The sequence below is a fragment of the Homo sapiens genome, chromosome 14, assembly GCF_000001405.40.
Source record: "Homo sapiens chromosome 14, GRCh38.p14 Primary Assembly".
Taxonomy (NCBI): Eukaryota; Metazoa; Chordata; class Mammalia; order Primates; family Hominidae; genus Homo; species Homo sapiens.
The window spans coordinates 106592063-106612928 of NC_000014.9; the positions used below are offsets into that span (position 1 = coordinate 106592063).

The 20866-nt window shown below is 42.7% G+C and overlaps 4 pseudogenes, 1 gene segment (V, D, J or C) and 1 further gene; all 6 read right to left on the bottom strand.

The window, feature by feature from the left end:
• Window positions 1-20866, bottom strand: part of IGH (immunoglobulin heavy locus) — a 1293408-nt gene that overhangs the window by 1005626 nt on the left and 266916 nt on the right.
• Window positions 614-1064, bottom strand: IGHV3-53 (immunoglobulin heavy variable 3-53). The segment is given in 2 exon segments: window positions 614-917; window positions 1019-1064. Coding segments are annotated over 2 exon segments (350 nt in total), but the record flags the coding sequence as incomplete, so codon positions are not given.
• Window positions 7593-7862, bottom strand: IGHVII-53-1 (immunoglobulin heavy variable (II)-53-1 (pseudogene); annotated as a pseudogene). The gene is given in 1 exon segment: window positions 7593-7862. A coding segment is annotated over 1 exon segment (270 nt).
• Window positions 9274-9730, bottom strand: IGHV3-54 (immunoglobulin heavy variable 3-54 (pseudogene); annotated as a pseudogene). Its single transcript is given in 2 exon segments — window positions 9274-9590; window positions 9685-9730. Coding segments are annotated over 2 exon segments (363 nt in total).
• On the bottom strand, window positions 14054-14489 carry IGHV4-55 (immunoglobulin heavy variable 4-55 (pseudogene); annotated as a pseudogene). Its single transcript is given in 2 exon segments — window positions 14054-14360; window positions 14444-14489. Coding segments are annotated over 2 exon segments (353 nt in total).
• On the bottom strand, window positions 17700-18134 carry IGHV7-56 (immunoglobulin heavy variable 7-56 (pseudogene); annotated as a pseudogene). Its single transcript is given in 2 exon segments — window positions 17700-18004; window positions 18089-18134. Coding segments are annotated over 2 exon segments (351 nt in total).

Below are 20866 nucleotides of genomic sequence, written 5' to 3' on the forward strand. Positions count from 1 at the left end.
ATTATAATATTGGAATAAAGAGTAATTGCTACCAACTAATGATTAATGATATTCATATATAATCATATCTAAGATCTATATCTGGTATAACTATTCTTGTTTTATATTTTATTGTACTGGAACAGCTCGTGTCCTCGGTCTCTTGCGTCGGCACCTGGGTGGCTTGCCGCCCACAATCAGTATCCATAAAGACTGTTCTAGACGGGGAACCTCACTGAGGTCCCTGTCCTTGGTCTGATAGGAGGAGACTCAGCAGGAAGCCCTGAGCTCACTCAGACTCTGATCGTGGTGACCATGTTTGAGGACTTTTCATCCCAGTAAGCATCAATCCACATTTTGTGCGAGTGAGAACTGCTCTTCATATTAAAATAATCTCTTTCAAATACTTAGAGAAGACGTTCATAGGCACAGAATGCTAAACTTAGAGAGGTTCCCTGGGGAACCGTCAGAAGAAGACAGAGTCCCACATCCTGACAGGAAATCAGCCTCCATCTGCACCTGCCTCCGGGGCTGACTCTGATCAGTGGCTCCTGAGCGCCCCCTGCCGCTGATTTCCCCAGCGTTCCTGCAGGGAGGTTTGTGTCTGGGCGCACAATGGCCTCCCCTCACTGTGTCTCTCGCACAGTAATACACGGCCGTGTCCTCGGCTCTCAGGCTGTTCATTTGAAGATACAGCGTGTTCTTGGAATTGTCTCTGGAGATGGTGAATCGGCCCTTCACGGAGTCTGCGTAGTATGTGCTACCACCGCTATAAATAACTGAGACCCACTCCAGCCCCTTCCCTGGAGCCTGGCGGACCCAGCTCATGTAGTTGCTACTGACGGTGAACCCAGAGGCTGCACAGGAGAGTCTCAGGGACCCCCCAGGCTGGATCAAGCCTCCTCCAGTCTCCACCAGCTGCACCTCACACTGGACACCTGCAAACACAGAGACATTGGTTAGAAACTGCCACACATATCCACTGTTTCTCTCACTCGTGTTCACTCACACTCGATATCTCTAGTTCTCCATGAATCACCTTTTGAAATAGCAACAAGGAAAACCCAGCTCAGCCAAAACTCCATGGTGAGTCCTCTGTGTTCAGTGCTGATCACCGAATGGAAACACCTCGGAATCCCAGTGCTGGGCTCCTCTCCCAGAGCTGCAGGGTCAGCTGGGCTGGTTTTCATCAGCAGAGGGAGGGCCCTATTTGCATGTCCCCGACTATATAGCAAGCTCTGGGGTGGGACATCTGAGGAGAGGCCGGGCTCCGTGCAGATGAAGTGTCCTGGGGGAGATTGGTATTAATTCCATCATTCAGGAAAATATAATTGTATATTACGTGATTGCGCCTTGATTAGCATTTAGCTCTCACAATCTGATTTTATTTTTACATATTTACACAATATATTTAAGGCAGGTTTCAATGTTACATTTTACAGGAGATAATTTGCACAGAGAACACAGCAGTTGTGCAGTGTGTCTAAAATTACACATCTAAAAAAATGAGTCCTATTACCTGGGCCTGTGCTCTAACCACTGGAGGAGGCAGCTCCCCTGAGACAACTCCAGGGCAGTGTGGACTATGCCTAGTGAAGTCTGCAGGATTCCCCATCAGTTATGACAACTTTCTGTAATTTATCTAAATATGTAGAGAGAACCACGGCTCATGTGTGTGTATTTTCAGAAGTCAGTCATATTTCTTCTGTCAATATCAGTCTTTTTATTGCTCCATTTTAGCAAAAATATTCATTTATTTCTTTGTTATTGCTTTATTCAAGTATAAAAATAAATAATTAATTCAAATTTATAGGGAATGATTTGAAAAATGTAGAGCTATGTTTGCAGCCATTCACTCGGCACTTCAATCAACTTTTGAATAATTAAATTAATCCCTAAATCTTTTTCTTATTCCTCTGAAACTTAAATCACATCCGCATCATTCCCAACACCATTTTCTCAGAAAAATTTAAGTCTTCTTCATTTTAATTTATGGTAGTGGCATCTTCTAATATTTCTACAATGAATTATATAAAATTTACTCTTAATTCCTTAGCTTCTTTCACTCAGCACAATTCTTTGAGAATTTAGCCATGATTTTTATGATTGAGGCATGCCTTGATTTCAAGCTGCATTATATACCAGTACATAAATATATGTCAAACTATTTAATTGTTCACCCATAAGAAAATGTTATTTTTTCTCCCAGTTAATGGATTCTATAGAGAAAAGTAGCTACTCGGCACGGGAATTTAAAAAAAATGAGTAAACAATGATCTTATTCTGAAATCATTAACAACAAACCTGAAAAACCACTAATAAGGAAAAAGCATTCAACATATCTGAGTTGATATTACAGAGAAAAAAAAAAACCCTTAATCTGTGGAGAAAGGGGCCTGCAGAGAGAACCATATATTAGTGTTCCTGGGACAGATACCAACTGGATGTTATTTAAGCTAAGAACCAGCTGACTTGAAAATATTCAGTGAGTTGCTGGAGGATGCATGTGCTCATAGTGTTAGACTGTGAAGCTCCTCGTGCTTGCAGGCTTTTCCTACAGAATTATTATTAATTATTATGGCTTCGCTTTATGCAAATGATCAGACCAACCATAAGACTAAAGTTTATTTTGCAAATCACTCAGTCCTATAATGATTAGTTTCTGACAAAAATCAGAACTGGAGAGAGAAAAATTATGTTTCAAAACATATCATACACTTGTCTTTAAATTACAGTCTCTTCAATTGGTTTTTCAGGTTTGTTGTTAATGAGTTCAGAATAAGATCATAGTTTACTCATTTTTTTACATTCCCATGCCGAGTAGCTACTTTTCTCTATAGAATCCATTAACTGAGAGAAGAAATAAGTTTTAAGTATTTGCCTCCATTTTAGACTAACTCTGCTTATCGCTGTGAACCAACCAATGATCTCTGGCTGCAGCTCAGAAGAAACACAGGCATGGGCTATATAAACATCTGGACGAATATTTTAATTCTGAGCAATTATCCTGCAAATCATGCCAGGTGACTGGAATAAATAGGGTCCCCCTAACCCGGAGGTTTCTTTGTTTGGGAAAATAAGTCCAAGGGAGGTAACGAAAGCCAAGCCCCATGCACCCAAATCTTAGCAGGCATAACTACAGCCACCAGTTATCTGGGTGTGTCAGCAGCCTTGGAATTTTTTTTCAAACTGTCCTTACCACCTTGTTTGGTTTTGATACATGTCTTCTAATAACCCGGTTTGTCTCTTCTCACCTTCAGGCATCAACTCCAAATGGTCATCCAAGTGAAGCCTGGGATAATGGCTCCCTTTTACTGGGTCCCTTAGACAGACCTCAAGGGAGATCTTCCCAAAACAGCATCCCCTGTCAGCTGGGAGCAGTTAAGGTTGGCCTTTGTATTCTAACGGGTTAGATGCACTTATTCAAAGAGGAAAATGATAGAGGGAGGAGGCAGATAACTCTCCTAGGCAGACAGGGGAGAGTCCCCATAGAATGTCCAACCCACTAAGGTCATTGTGCACAGGGCGCTTGCCTAGACATGCCTGCAGTGAAAATTGTTAGTATTGTATCTTATCACTCTGGTAAAATAGCCACACATAATAATCCAGCTGCGTGAAGATAAAAAATAACTAGTTTGAAATTAGAGCAAGTCCCAAGTAAATCAAAGTTAGCATGTGGTTCATAATGTGATAGACAGGAGACATGGCTGAATATGAAGAATGTGTTCACATCTATTTTATGTCAAGATCAGGAAAATATTTTGTATATTACTTAGGTAAGATTCCCACTGAGATCATTGATTTAAGATTATATATTGATGGATAATACCTCAATAATAAAAGTAGAGGTTATGAACCAGTAATTTGTATTACTAGTACAAACTTCCATTTAGTATATATTATTCTGTGTGTTATGAAATCAATTCAGAAGGCAGAAAACTTTGCACTTATCACAACTTTTTAATAAATTAAAAATTAGAATTAAGTAACTATGTTTCTAGATGGTGCACAACTTTGGAATATTTTTGCAAACAGAGAGGGTTCTTACATCTTCTGGAAATCCTATCAAAATGGACAACAATGGAAGAAACTTTCAGATGAATTTCTACCAACTAGAGATCTGATTAATAGAATTTTAAAGCAAATGCTAACACACAAACAAAAAACTAACATAGAAGCTAAAAAAATAGTGATTTAATACACCAAACACTCTACCTCATTCTAGTTTATAACATAATCTAACCGTGGAGAGCACTGTCATTGTTCATACGAGACAGAATCAATACCACTCACAATCTTCTGGGAACGTTTAAAAAATGTCTTCTTTACATTAAAATTATCAAATCTTTAATAAAATGTAAAACTTGCTTGGCCAAGGGTTCTCCCACTAGCACTATGAAACCATGGTCCACTCCTCAGGATGCATCAGTTATTACCCTATGACTTGGCAGCTAAAAGGCCTATATGTTTATAGACTTTACCCCAGAGATCATCCTTGTCCTACTGCTTGCATGTGTGGTACCCACTCCAACCACGAAGAGTTTGAGGCGGCCTTTTTACTACCTCTTTTCCACAGACTCTTGTGATCTTCAACAAGGAAACTGGAAGGAACATCAGTGGACAATACTGCTCTTGAATCATATTGGAAGGAATCTTGTCAGATCCTTTTAACTAACTCACTGCAGAAAACATTCAGGCAGTTAATTATTGGGTTCGTATTTTACAATTAAAGAATAAATTCAGGCCAGATGCACTGGATCATCTGTATAATCACACCACTTTCAGAAGGGAAGTGAGGGAAATCCCATGAGACCAGGCAATCAAAACCAGCCTGGGCAACACAAAGAGACCTTATTTATATGAAAAAATAAAATAAAAAATAAGGAGGGGATGAGTGGCATGCCCCTCTAGTTCTAGATATTCAAGAGGCTAAGATGGGAAGAATATGAGTCAGGAGTTCAAAATTACAGCGAGCTATGATCACACCACTGCACTTTAAACTGTGTGACAGGGTGAGAGCCTGTATCTAAAAGAAAAATCAAGAACCAGTTAAGAATTTCACATAACTGTAAAGCTACTCAAATAGGAAATGTTAAACTGAGCATGTTCATAGATTCTCTGGCGTTTCTGATGTTTTTAAGCAGATGGCTGACCTAAGACCTGCAGAATGAGCTGGTAGTCCTTGATTGTGAGAAGCTTCTACCCAAGACATCAGACCAGGACCCTGTTTAATTCCCCTTCCCCTCCTTTTTTTCATTATCCTTTGCTTATATTTCTAAAGTCATCTCATTTCTGTAGACCTGCGTGTTGTCCACCCACACTGAACCCTTATCTTCTTTCTTATTAATTATTTTTATTCCTGCTGCATAGAATAAGTTGTCACACTATTTTTGGGTGCATGACTGCTGATGATTTAAAGCATATTCCTCCATCATCTCCTTTTTTGCCACACAAGGTGGCTCTAGTTTGAAATCACAGGAGCTTCTTCATTCGATGCCAGGGGGAGTTTCAAACCCTGCAAACCCCTTTCTGTGAGTGGGAAGCCTCACTCTGCCCCCAGGACCAAACCATCATAAAAATGCTGAGCCAGTCTCCTTTCTTCTTCTTTCAAGCTGTTTCAGATTTTCCTGGGAGACCTGCCCTGCACTCACCAGACACCTATAGAGTGCAAATAATAAACTTTTCCATATTCACTTTCTCTGAGTGTGTGACTTCATCAGACACGACATTCAAACTAAATCTTAGTTGTAATCTCTTGGCTTTGTGTGGTGTCAACTACAGCTGAGGGTGTGAGCTTGGTGTCACTGGTTCTATCAGCCGGACACCCTGGGTCCCTGAAACAACTCCAGGACAGAGCTGGACATGTGATATAGATTGATTTCGTATCCCCATCAAAGTATCATCTCAAATTGTAATCCCCACATGTCAGGGGAGGGACCAGGTGAGAGGTGATTGGATCATGGGTCCAGTTTCCCCATGTTGTTCTCATGGTAGTGAGTGAGTTCTAACAACCACTGATTGTTTAAAAGTATGTGTCACTTCCCCCCTCTCTCTCTCTCCTGCTGCCCTGGGAGATGTGCCTTGTTTCCCCTTCACCTTCCACCATGATTGTAAGTTTCCTGTGGCCTCCCCAGCCATGAAGAACGGTGAGCCAACTAAATCTCTTTTCCTTGTAAACTACCCAGTCTCAGGTAGTTCTTTATACCAGTGTGAAAATGAACTAATACCACATGACTGGTGGAGTTCGATAAACTTTTTTAGTGACATAAAATTATGCCATTATTTTTCTATATTCTAGCATTTCTCTAAAAATACAGAGATGCCCAGGGCTCATTTATGTGTATATTCAAGAGTCTCTGACTTTTCATGTATTTTATTTATCTCTGTCTAATTCTTTTGATACCAAATTATACCTACTATAATTAGTACTGTCATTAATGGAGTTAAATTAAAAATAATAATCTCCATATGAAGTGTTCAATTTTACAAATGGGTCATAGACATCATCACTAGCAACATAGATAACAAGTCAATTCCCTCAAAATTTTGTCTTGTACTATAATTCCTCCTTCCTAGTCCTTCCCCTCTCCTACAATACTCACAGTGAACTACTGATTTTTATGTAACTTTAGATTACTTTTTGTTCTATAGAATTTATGAAAGTTGTATCTTATGTATGCACTTTTGTTACTTTGGCTCATTTTACTCATCACAAGTACTTGTGAATTTAACCATGCTGTTGAGTGTACCCAACATTAGTTGATGGTAGTAGTGGATAGTATGTCAATGAATGACTTTTCCTCAATTTGTTTACCAGTTAAGCTGGTGATTGACTTTTGGGTTGTTTTTAATTCTAGGTATTATAAACAAAGATGCTACTCAGCTTAGAGAAGTACACAGCTAGGAAACACATTGTTCTTATTGTTACAACAGCATAAATAACGAAGCTGGAAAAGCTGCACATTAATCAGGTTTATTGAATATATCAGGTAATAAAAGTTATAGATTTTGGTGTGTTGTGGGGTGGGTGTATGTAAGTTTCTGTGTGAGAGAGAGAGAAGAAGGGAGAAAGGAAGGCAGAAAAAGAGAGGAATCTGACATAATTGACCACAATTTATGAGATTCTCCAGTAATTGCGGGGAATTAGTCCTTATGGACAAGGCTGATGCACCTAGCTATGGACACCTAGCAAGAGGACAACTTGACACAGCTAACTATGGTTATGTATTTATATAAATATCATTTTCTAATCATACACTCTCATGCGTTAGAATAGACAAAGTGGAGTGTGTCTAGTGGTGAAATATGATGGTGTCACAAAACCCCTCATCCAGCCCCTTTCAACCCCAGCTGCACCTGCCCTGAAGCTGAGCTTTGAGCCTGCTCTGAGTCCCCACAATTGTCCTGAGTCCCCTGCTGTACGGAGCACCTTTTGGGGTCCTGGTTTTCCTCCATGTTTCCTGAGAACCCTTGGCTACCTGAGGGCATCTACAATGGCCTTGAGTGCCCCTTGGTGTCCTGAGGAATCCTGGGGTCCTGAGTAACTGTGGCTGTCCTGTGCACCCCCACAGGGAGGTTTGGGTGTGAGTTCCCACTGTGGTTACCTTACTGTGTCTTTTGTTAAAAATACATGGCTGTGTGCTTGCGGCTCACTTAGCTCGGCTGTAGGAAGAACTGCTTTTTGGACATGGATCTGGAGATGGTGACTGGACTCTTGAGGAGTGGGTTGGAATGTGCACTCCCTCATGACCTGTGCACCGGATTCACTCCAGTCCCTTCCTGGGGGGTTTATGAATGCAGCTACAGCAGGAAGCACTGGTTGTGATGGGGAATCCAGAGACAGCACAGGTGAGGGAGAGGGTCTGTGAGGGCTTCACCAGGCCAAGTGGGCACTGAGAAACACAGTTGTTGGCATGCACAGGTTCTGGAGAACACATTGAAATTCCCAAATACATACACTTTTATGAGAATAAAGGGCTCATTTGTGTTCAATTTGTGAGTCTCCTAGAGTAATGCAGTGGATACTGAGGTTAGATTCTGACAAATTTATTGTCACATTTTTCTCCATACTTGGAACCAAATAATAAAGAGAAACTAATGTCAGGAGAATAGACATTGAACTATCTCTGTTCATGGTGATTTTCAGAATAAGACTGAGATGTGATCACCTGAAGGGTGTCCTAATGCTTAACCCACAATTAGACCTGAGCAGCAATCACTGGCGGTGGAGGTCACCCACAAGGAGAAATACCTGACTCACTGAAGCTGCACCTGGCGGGGGGGGGTCTCTGCAGGCTCTGAGTCGTGCAGGAACAGCTCCTCCCTTAGACTCAGAGTGAGGAAAATCTCTGCTCTTTCTCTGGGGGAGGTGAGGGTTAGTGTGTGGAAAGAACCCAACTTACTTTAATAAAGATCTCTGTACTTGAACAGAAACAAAGAATGTGAGAAAAAACTAATTTCATTTTAAATAGAACAATTTCTCATGAGGAAGGCAATAATATGTCTGGATCTTACACAGAATTAAGAAACAATAAATTTGGGGTAAAGTTGAAAATTACAATTTCTTTGCAGGTTCTGTTCCTAATTATCTATGTCATCTGAGAAAATGAAGTAAAATCATGGTTTTATATAAAAATTCACAAACAGGGTGCTGGACCTGAGAATGCACCTCCCATCTCTCCAGCATCAGGGAGCCCAATAGAACAGGCAGCCAGCTGCTGCACCGCACTCTAACACCCGCCACCTGGTGTGTGCCAAAGACACCCATCCTGGGAGCTCCTCCCAGACAATGGCTGTGCACAGTGAAGACACTGAGACATGGCTGCTGCTGGGACACATGGGACATCTCTGATGGACAACTGTGCTCAGGGAGGCACAAATGGCCTCGTTGGACTTAGCTTAGACCACAGGATACTTAGGGCAGCTTCATCAAACTCCCACCCTCCTCCAGCACTAGTGGTGAGATTGACCTTCTGGGGTAACAATGTCTACAGACTCCCTGGCCTCCTGTGCATTTTTATGCCTCCAATACTTACATCTGCCTTTGCAACAAATGAGAATGTCCAGAGACCTCAGGGGTGGCCACAGAAGCATAAATGTAGAGAGGCTCCCAGGGAAACTGTTAGATGCAGAGGAAGCCTCAGACCCTCAAGGAAAGCAGCCCATGATGACCATCTGCACCTGCCCTAGAGCTTCCCCTGTTTTCTGTGGGTCCTGAGTGCCCTTTTAGCCCAGACTCCTCCCTTATTTCAGGAAATTCTGTGTCTGTGTTCACACTGATGTCTTCTTACCTGGTGCCTCACATACAGTAACACACAGCTGTGCCCTCTGCTCTCAGACTGTTCATTTGCAAACAGAGTGAGTTCTTGGCATTTTCTTTGGAGATGGTGAATCTGCTCTTCACAGATTGTGCATAACATATCTGACTTCTATCGTACTATATATCTACTACTCACTCCAGCCCCTTCCCTGGAGCCTGGGAATCTGAGCTCATTCAGTAGCTACTGAAGGTTAATCCAGAGTCTGCACAGGAGAGTCTCAGGGATCCCCCAAGTTGTCAAGTTGTCTTTGGTTTTCTTCAGACTCCACCAGCTGTACCTCACACTGGACACCTGCAAACTTTGTAGGTGTCCTGGTCAGAAAGTTCCAGACATATCCACTGTTTCTCTCAAGTGTATCCATTCACACTCAATCTCTCTAGTTCACCTTTTAAAACAGCAACAGTGAAAACCCAGCTCAGCCCAAGCTCCATGGTGGGTCCTCTGTCTTTAGTCCTGATCACCAAATGGAAACCCCTGGGAATCCCAGGGCTGGCGCTTCTCTCCCAGAGCTATGGGGTCAGGACTGGTCATCAGCAGAGGGAGAAACCTATTTGCATGTCTCCTACTGTATAGCAAGCTCTGGGATGGGAATCCTGAGGAGGGGCAGGGCTCAGAGCAGACAAAGTGCCCCCGAGATTGGTAGTCATCTTATCACTCAGGAAAATATCATTATATTATGTGATTGTGCCTTGATAATCATTTAGCAGTCATCATCTTCTTTTTGACATATTTGTAGAATACATTTAATGTAAGTGTCAATGTTGCATTTTAAGGAAGATAAATTACATACAGAACAGAGTGTTTATACAATGCATTCAAAGTCACACAGCTGGACAGAGTTAACCCCATTATCTCAGCCTGTGCCTCTGACCACTAGAGGAGACTGCTCCCCTGAGACAACTCCAGGGCAGTGTGGGACACACCTAGTGAGGTCTGCAGGATTCCACCCCTGCCAGGACATCTCTGTTTTCTTTTAGTGTATTCAGCCGTTTACCGGAAGTATACGGAGAGAACCAGTGTTCAAGCCTGTGTACTTTCAAGAGTCTGAGATGTTTCCAGTGTTCATACCCATCTATTTTTTGTTCCTCCTCAGTAAACATATTCATGTGTTTATTTGTTACTGCTTTTTTTAAGTACAATTAATAATTAATTCAAATCTACACTGCACAATTTGGAAAATGGTAACGTATGTGTGCAAACTTTAATCAGGTTGTGTACAATTAAGTTAACCCCTAAATCTTTCTGTCACTTCTCTGTAATTTCATCTCACCAGCCAATTACTTTCAACACCCGTTTCTCACAAATTTCAAATCTGCTCTGTTACTTTAGAATAGTTGGACCTTTTGCAGTTTATACAATTAGAAGTTTATGAATTGCACTCTTAATTCTTCAGCTACTTTCACTCAGCAGAGTTATTTGAGAATGTAGACATGCTTTTATGAGAATGAGGATGCCTTGATTCTAATTCTGCATTGTACTTTAGTTCATAATCATATGTCAAATTGTTTAACGTTCACCTGTAGTGGATATGGATATTTGATTTGTTCCCTTAGTTTCTGGCTTTTATATAGAAAGTGGCTACTCAGTGTGGGAATGTGAAAAATGAGAAAACTATGGTCTTATTCTGACCTCATTAACAACAAACCTGAAAAACTGAATAAATGAAGAAGAAAACCTTTTAACATATCTGAGTTGCTTTCACAGAGCTAACGAGAAGACTGAAATGTGAGGAGAGAGATGCCAGCAGAGAGGAGTGGGGCCCACATGTTGGTGAACCCAGGGCAGGTGCCACTGGATGGCATTGAGAGAGGAACAGGCTAACCTGGAAATATTTCGTGAGTATTTTTTTTGGATGCATGTGCTAATGGTATTGGAGTGTGAATCTACTAGTCCTTGCAGGATTTTCCCAAGAATTCGAAAAATCTACAGTCAACTCCCTTATCTGCTGTCCTGTGGTGCTGACAGGAAGGGAGGAACAGCGAGGACTGTTGAACGCCTGGATCCACCTCCACTGTCTCCAGGGGAAATCCAATCAAACCTGTGACCTATGGGGTGTGGTGGAGTCAACAGAAACTAAAGAAAACAGAAAATTCCCAAAGAACTACATCTAGAAGAAATTCTTAATCTGCAGGGTAAGTTCAATGGAGGAGAAGCTGAGGACACTGGTGAGAAACCATTGTGGTTGGGAAGACACTCTACCCCTGGGGGAAGAGGTACAGACAGGAAAATTGGGAGGGTCACCCCCAGAACTATGATTTTTACTCATGCATAAGAAGGAGGCTGATTCAGAAGGTTGGAGAACGTCCCCATTTGTTCAAGCCCCTTCTCCACATGGTCAACAAGTCTTCAGAATAATGAAGTAGCTGCCCCAGCTCCATTCTGACTTCTGTCATATGACAGTTTTTTGTGGATTTGCTTTCTGCTCTCTCATGATTTGTTTCTTCTCTCAACTCATAGCTCTATTCTCCTGTTAATTCTCAGTTTATTGAAGAGGTTCATATTTAGCTTAGAACATTACAATTTTTGGAAGAAATTTTTGTCTTAAACACACCAAATCTAATGAGCTCTCTCCAGGGATGCCCATCTGCTTTTTTGTCTTCCTTTCCTATGGGATATGGCCCTTTTTTCTCCCTGAGTCCAGCTCTTATATTCATATGCATAAGGAGTCCAACCATCACACACCCAGGGACATCTTGGAGGAACGGACGCTGCCATCCGTCTCCTCAGCCTTCATGTGCACAGTGGCCACTCTCTCAGCTGTTGTATGTGCTTTAGGGCTTTCCATTTAAAAGTGTCTTTCACTTTCCCCCCAAATAAAGTTCCTGGTCCTTAAATACCTTGATGAGCTAGTCTTCTTTTCTGTCCCTCTGTAGTTAATATGGTTTTATTCCATTAATATTCACTGGGGACATCAGTGAAAAGGGAAGTGACCAGCCATCCCATCCATTGTCTGACTTCTACCTGACGGACCCACCCATGAGCTTTACTCCACTGCTCTGCAGCTGATGGGACCATCTGGACCTTTATTAATAAGAGATGTGTAATTTATTAGAGAATGACTGAGATCAGCAGGTGCCTGAGTGCCTCAGAACACAGGTGTGTCCTGCAGTAGAGTGTGTGTGACTGAAATCACACGTGTGTATAACTCGTGGCCTCAGCCCAGAAGGTGATGGCAGCTTCTGGCCATTCGTAGGTAGCCCGATGAGGGGTGTCCAGAGAAGGATGGATGCAGGATGTGGGTTTTAGAAAGTGATGTGGGGTTGGGGCCACTGACGGCCAAATTTTATTTTAAGTCTATTCTGTCCTTGGCACTTGGGGAAGACTGGGAAGAAAGGAACAAAACTCAGACCCCATGTAGCTCCCCATTTAGGAAGAGATTCAGTGCAAATTTAGAAAGTTGAAGAAATAGACTATACTGCAGGGATCATTTCTATAGTCGGTTTGAGGTGGTTGAAGAAAAACAGTGACGTTGGTGATGTTGGTGTGGTTTTCTGTGACATACTAAGGAGACAACAGAAGATGGGCAGTGACCAGTCTCCATCCAGCTGGTACCCCTTGTCTATGTGTTATGTCCAAATAAAAGATAAAAGAAAACATTTGTGACACACACACAAGGGCTGGTTTCAGAGACCTTGCTCAAAAATGGCCAACAGGGTCATGACACATTTTTATATGAGAGCTACTATTTTTACCTACTTCACGTGGAAATCTGAGAGAAGTGTCCAGCCTCAGGGGGCTGCTCCTCCCTCCACGAACCAGAGCTAACAGAATTACGTGGTATCAGTCTGTTTGGATCTTCATAAGAAGACAACAGGAGTGGGTGGGTTAAACAACAAATATTGATTTTCTTACAATTCTGCAGTCTGAATGTGGAAGATCAAGGAGCTGTAAAAATTGGTTCTTAGCGCGGCTTCTTCCTGGCTTGCACAGGGCCACCTTCTAGTGCACTACGTCTCCTCACGGCTTCTTCTCTGTGTGCACGCGAAAAGTGAGAGGTCTCGGGTGTCTCTTCCTCTTCTTATAAAGACAACTGGTTTATTGAATTAGGGTCTCACACTTTGACCACATTTAACCTTAATTACATCATTAAAATTCCGGTATAGATCCATTGGATTTAAGGTTTGGGTAAATGAATTTCAAATAGGCACAATTCCATTGATGACACAAATCAAGAGATGGTGAGAACCATATATATATACGGTGTGTTTATATATAATATACATATGGTGTGTATATATATATTATATATATCGTGTGTATATATATAATATATATGGTGTGTATATATAATATATATGGTGTGTATATATATAATATATATGGTGTGTATCTATATAATATATATGGTGTATATATATGGTGTGTGTGTGTATGTGTATATATTTATACACACACACATATACGGTAAAATGAGTCACGCAGGAACTTGTAGGAAAGTTCCTAGTAATTGGTGAAACCTCAACAGTAAACAGAAAAATTGTCTTCCTCCTTTCTTGTCTGCCACAAGGATGTGAGGAAGCAGAACCACAGACAATAAAGAAACAGGAGCCCTGGGGACATCTGAGTGCTGGCGAGGAGGGAGATCACTGAGCTGATGAGGAAGCCCCGCCCTCCCTGCACCTGCTCCTGACCCGGCCTCGGGCTCTGTGGCCTCGCGCGCCCCCTGTTGGTCCTGAGCAGCACCTGTGCCCGCCCCCTCTGCCTATCTGTAGGGAGGTTTGTGTCTGGGCTCACACTCACCTCCCCTCACTGTGTATCTCGCACAGTAATACACGGCCGTGTCCGCGGCGGTCACAGAGCTCAGCTTCAGGTAGAACTGGTTCTTGGACGTGTCTACGGACATGGTGATTCGACTCTTGAGGGACGGGTTGTAGTAGGTGCTCCCACTATGATGGATTTCCCCAATCCACTCCAGCCCCTTCCCTGGGGGCTGGCGGACCCAGATTCACCAGTTACCACTGCTGATGGAGTCACCAGAGACAGCGCAGATGAGGGACAGGGTCTCCGAAGGCTTCACCAGTCCTGGGCCCGACTCCTGCAGCTGCACCTGGGACAGGACCCCTGTGAACAGAGAGAACCACGGTGAGCCCTGGGATGAGAGGCAGCATCTCATATCTTCAGGTCTGGATCCCTGAGGCACTCACATCTGGGAGCTGCCACCAGCAGGAGGAAGAACCACAGGTGTTTCATGTTCTTGTGCAGGAGGCCCATGAGTCTCAGAAAGTATTTCCCATGTGAGCTGGATCCCAAATTTAAGGAAATGTGTGCTGGTTTCCTGTAGGTGCCTAAGTGAGGATTTGCATGTGGGCGGTGACTTTGTATGGACAGGTGAAAAGGGAGGAGGGAGGCCCCAGTCTTTTGGGCTCGCCCTGGGAGTAGGAAGCTGGCTGTGCCCTCTGAGAACTCAGTTCTCTTCCTGTGGCCTCCCCTTACCAAGCCCATAGTCCTCTTCTTCCAGGTAGGGAAATGTGCTGAAGATGCTGGTCTGGGAGATCAGTGTGATCTTGGATCAGGGACAGATTTTGGAATAGGTTCAATGCTGTTCTATCCTTGAAGATTTATATAAAACAAACCACACACCCAGGTCATCTAAATTGTCATTTACCCCTTCAGACACATTGAAACAGCAGTGGAGTGTAATAATCACAGTGAATTCAGACCCTGGATCCATGCAATGTTTATTGTAGTTCAGAACATCCATCATGGTTAGAAGGATGCTCCCTGTCCCACGAAGTGGGTTATTTTTAAATAGCCCCTGAGAGCTGCCCTTCTGAGACCTTTTGAAATTTGGGTTTCTGCCTGAGATCTCAGGAGAAGGTAGTGGAATATATCTCTGTCCTTCTCAATGTGGGATCCTGAAGATGTGGCCTGACCTCTAAACACTTCTGTGTGAAAAGATGTAGATTGCGATAGCAGTGTCAACTTCAAACATAAACTCTATAGTACATCATCACTGGATGATAGTCTCATCACCAAGATTAATGCAATTACCTTTCCTGGGAACCAGAGAGGACTTCTGGGACCCCTCCCCTCTGAGAACACAAGGAACTCTGGTTCTTCCCTGACAGGTCACACCTGTGAAACATGGCTGGACAATGACACTTAAGCCCAGAGTCCTTACACACATATTTACCAGTTCAGATCCATCTGTCTCTGAAAGACTTTCTCCTCGATTCAATTGCATGAACATACCCTAGGATGTGCAATATTGCACATTGGGCCTTTGACATTACTTTGGTTAATTGTATAATAAATAATGTATCTCCATGGATGTGGGTAACAGGAGAGTCAGCAGAAATTGGGAGTGTTGTAAAATCAGATAAAACTGAGCTCTCTTCTTAGGACCTGAACAAGTGGGCTGACCTTATGTGAGACAACAGGGGGAACCAGGTGAGCCAGGTGAGCTCCTTACATACCAGGTGGTCTCTGGGCCTATTGTCTGAATAGATCCAGAAAGATCTTCCTCATCCTCAGAAGAATTATGAACATTGAAAGAAATTGAGATAAATTTTTATTTACAGAGATTAATTCATAGGCTTGTAGACATCTACCTGTGTGGAGTACAAGGTTGCTAGGATATGCTCATACACAGACCAGAAATAATTATATTTTGTGGAAAGTAACCAAAGAACTTCTGAATTTGTAGGTATTGCTTGCCACAAATGTGTCAGGTCACTAGATCATGTTATGATGCTAGAGGTAAAAACTTCTCAACATTGTCACCGAGACAAAAATGCAAAAATGTAAAAATTCAATAGAGATTCCCTTGAAAATCACCAGTAATGAACAGGCTGAAAGAAATCAACCATTATGGAAAGAGTGGTCATTAAATGAAACAGTAAATTCCATGCTGAGGTGAGAAGGAAGTTCCATCTGACAGCTCATTTTCACCTTTGCAAAGACTTCAGAGCACAGACTAAGAGCAGAGCGTGAACTTAGGGCAAACAGAAGCCAGATGTTTGAGGAGGTTGGAGAGTGAGCTGGAGTCATTGTGAGCCATTCAGAAAAGCAGAGTGTTCCAGGGTGTATTGAGTCCTCCTGAGTTAAGAGGTGCTGAATATATGCAAGTTTCACTGCCCTCATTGCATTTTATTCTCCAGACTCTCTTGGATGTCCAGATTTGAACACGTGGAGTGTTGATGGAACTCATGATAACTAGGAACTTTTCAGTGAAGGTGTAGGTAACAATGTGGGTATAATTAAATTCGGTTTATGAAAATATTATTATCCGAAATGTCAAAGTCAGTACCTATTAATTTATCTTTCTTTTGTATTTACAGGCAAGACTTGTTTTGTTGCCCAGGCTGGAGTGCAGACTCACCTATTAATTTTACAGCATAAAAATGATCAGCCCAATTTATGTAGTCCTATTATCTCTATCAAGGATATTTAGGTCCATGTGGCCTGCGACATAGCTCTAGTCACTGAGGGAAAAGCGGTGGTTTGTTGAGTTGATGCTGCTTCTTCAGAGCGGAATTTAAACAATCAACTCCTCACCTCACCCAGTCTATTTTTACAATTTTGGATGACGCTTGGGAATGCAGTTGCCATTTCTTACATAATGGGAGTTGACTGTGCCGTGAAGGTAACAGGAAGATGTGTAAATTTAAAGCCTGGTTACATAACCTGCTGAATTTTAAAAGACTAGAGCCAATCACGTTCTGACATCTTGTTTAATTAGTTCTGAATTTATCTTTCGTTGGTTACTTCAAGTTCCCCTAATTCACTTTCTGCTACAGTAGTCACATACAATAATCTTGATATAGTAAAATAAAAAATAACTAATTTGAAAATGAACCCGACTTCCAGGAGAGGTGAACATTTCTTTGGGGTGAATGGTGGGAAGGGTGGAGACATGGTTGAACACTGAGGTTGTGCTCACAATTGTTTTATTTTAATTAGGGGAACTTCTATATATCCCTTAAATTTATAAGACACTCCCAATGAGAACCTTGAAGTCAAGTAATTAGTTGATAGAACACAACAACAACGATGCTGAAGGTTATTGAGCAGGAATTGCTATCACAACGTTAGCCTTGCTTTACAACACATTTTTCTACCTGATGAGAAATTAGCCCAGGTGCGCTGATGAGAGCTTGTCAGTTAACCAAAGACCAGGAAATGGGTACACGTGTTTCTGGAGCAGGGCATGGCTTTGGGATGCTTTGTTAACAAAGTGGCTTCTCACGTCTTCTGGAAAACCCATCAAAATGGGCAAATTAAGGACCTCTTAGGAGCACCCGTCTATCCCACATTCCTGGCTAATATTAAAGCGGAACTCAATGCAAACTTAGATAAAATGGAAGTTTAGAGACATGCTGCACCACTGCCTCAGCTCATCACAGCTGCCTCCTTCCTCAGGGTTTCTAAAACTCTCGGGATGTGGGTTTCCACACGGTGTACCTCACACAGTAATAAATGGCTGCATCCTCAGTCTTTAGGCAGCTAGTCTGCAGATCCGCCGTGCTGACAGAGGTGTCCATGGAGAAGACAAACCGTGTGTGAATCTGTGGGCATACATTGGGTTCACCAGGGTAGGATGATCCATCCCATCCACTCAAGCCCCTGTCCTGGGGTCTGTCGTATCCAATTCATACCATAGGTGATGACAGTTTAACCAGACACCTTGCAGGAGACCTTCGCCGAGGCCCCAGGCTGCTTCACCTCAGGCCCAGACTGCACCAGCTGCACTCGGGAGTGGGCACCTGTGGAGAGGAGACAGCAGTGGGTGAAGTCTCACATGACTGGCCTGGTTTCTCCCTCAGCCCTGGGACTGGGGAGTCCCTTACCTGTTGCTGCTGCCACCAAGAAGAGGATGCTCCAGGTCCAGTCCATGGTGAGGAGCTGTGATCTAGGGGATTCTCCCAAGGAGGGGTGTGGTTGTTGGGTGATGCTCTCACGGCACAGAGATATCTGTATTAACCTTAGTGATTTGCATATTCACGAAGGATGCTATTGAATAGCCCAATTCCTGAGCCAGGATGAGATAGAGCAAATACATGACAGATGGACGACACAATTGTACATGCTGAGGGTTCAAGCCGTAATCCTGTTAGAGGCGATGCGACCCCTACACATCCCTGAACTCTGTGTTGACAGAGCTTCCTCCACTGGAGAACAAGCTCCCTCAGGACACGCACCTCACTTTGAACCCACATTCGAATGCACCAGGGACAACTTGAGCCATTTCTAGACCTTAATATGTGAATGCGTTATTTTGGGAATTAGTATGTTTCTCCAAAAATTGCACTTATTTAAAAGAAAGGATCTCTTCTTGACCTCCAGCTGCTTACTATTAAGATATCTAGGGGAGTTTGAAATCCCCATTGTAAAAGTGGTTGTCATTACAACATCCAGTTTGATAAATGCTCACAATTGAATAGGATATTTATACAAACAACAGCAGCCCTTGTGAAATACTTATTTTAGATATTTTCAAAGGAAGTCCCAGGCCCTGAGAGGAACCCCTCCCCAGCCTCCTGTGCACCTGCTCTGGGGCGGGAGACTGTGCTGCGTTTATCCTGAGCACCCCCTGCAGCCCAGCCCCTACCATGCACGAGGCTTTCTGTCTAAACTTACAGAGTATATTCATACCAGTGTCTCTAGCCCAGTATAAAGTGGCTGTGCCGTGGCTCAGAATTCTCCTTTAATGACAGCATGTGCTTCTCACACCATCTTTTGAAATAGTGAATTGCCCTTAGGAAACCCAGAGAACTCTGCAGGGAGACCTGAAGAAAAGATCTCAGGCATCACCGGGGAGCCCCTTCCTGGAGCTCTAGAGGCACTGAATCACTGGACACACGGTAAACCCAAACACTCTTCAGGGGTTTGGGGAGATTCTTGTTTCCTTTAGGGTCAGGCAGTTGATTATTGCACCTGAGACTACCTGCAGGTGCAGGTGCATGTGGATAGAAGCCCACTCCAACTCTAGTATTCAAATCACACCTACACACACACACACACACACACACACAGTGGCTAATTTTTACATTAATTGGCCCCATGTTTTTCCTTTTTTTCTGGTATTCATGTCATGGAAAGCACTCCCTACACTGACACTAAGGCTGAGTATGTGTTTACTTTCTGCAAATAGAAGTAAAGTAAACAAAATACAAGTGGACACCCGGGAAGTGCATGCACATTGAATTCACCTGGTCTCACTTTGGAACCCTGAAGATGCTCCATGAAAAGTAAATTTGAGGCCAATGAGGGTGAAATCATTTCCTTGGTGCTGAAGTTGCTGGTGTCAGAGGCTTCAAATTGCCATATTTTCTTTAACATTTTTTCTCTGACTTTCCTCCTCAGATAGAGTTTGTGCATTGCCACGCTCTCATATTTAATCCATATTGACTAAACTGGTGAGACATAATGTGTGGAACACGGAAGCATTACATGTTCTTACAGTTGCATTTTAATTCTGTGGTGATCTTCTTTCTCTGGGCTGTGCCCGATACAGGAAGTCTCCAGGTGTGAAGCTGATTTTTGCTCTTTTCTGGATGGAACATCACAGGAAAATTTTCTTAAATGTACCCCTATTGGCTAATTTTACCCATTTTCATGATAAAGTTAGGCTGCTGGCAGGGGCTTCTAATGGGTATGGATTACCTTTCCCCACATACATAAGGGTGTAAAAATGCCCTTTCCCTGGGTTGTCTGTCTGAAGAAGGTCTGAGTGATTTTATCAGAGATTTGGTCTCCTGGCAATAGAGCCATGAAGGGATCTGTGTGGATTCTCACCCTGAGGACCTGGAGGTTCCTGGAGGAAAGGGCAATAAGAGTAAGGGGGGTGGAGCTCCCAGAATCTCTCACCCTCATGCTAGTCCAGACATGCCCTTTATTTATATTTAGTTCAGGTTTTCATATAACAAACCACGCAGCCAGGCTCATTTAAATTATCCATACTCAGTCCATATAGGATCAGCAGCTGAGTATAACAATCACATTGAACTCAGACAAAACTGGGCCCAATCCAATGTTTACTGTAGCTCAGAACAGCTTTACTGACTCACTGAACTTGGAGATTATTTCTTCCCTGAAGGAACTGTGAGGGTTGCTGTGAAGCCTCTGCAGGGTTGGATTTTTTTTTGCATCAGCCTGTCATGCAGGGTATTCTGAATGATGTAGACCTTTACACTTAGATGGTAATTATTCCTAGTGTTGTGGAAATGGCTGGCAGTCCTCAATTCCGTTAATTCCTTTGGTTCATCTGAGTGTCTACAAGAATCTGATGAACCTCAGGACTCTCCTTCATAGAGGACTGCAAAGATTGTCAATAGACTCAGTGCTATGGACAGAGGGAGCTAATGGAAGATTCTCAGTCCACTGATATGTTGGGTGAGCAACTTAGGACACATCCAAGAATGAACCATTTTTGTCAATGCCAATCAATATTAAATTCAAAGTCAAGATTTTCAGTAAACTGGAGTGTAAAATTTTCATGATTCTGGACAATGGGGTCTCAAACTTCATGGTATGCAGAAGAAATGAGCTCATCATGGTTAGACAGAAGCTTCTTTACCTAGGAAGTTAGTTTTTCAAACTAAAGCACCAGAGACATGGTTTCCTGA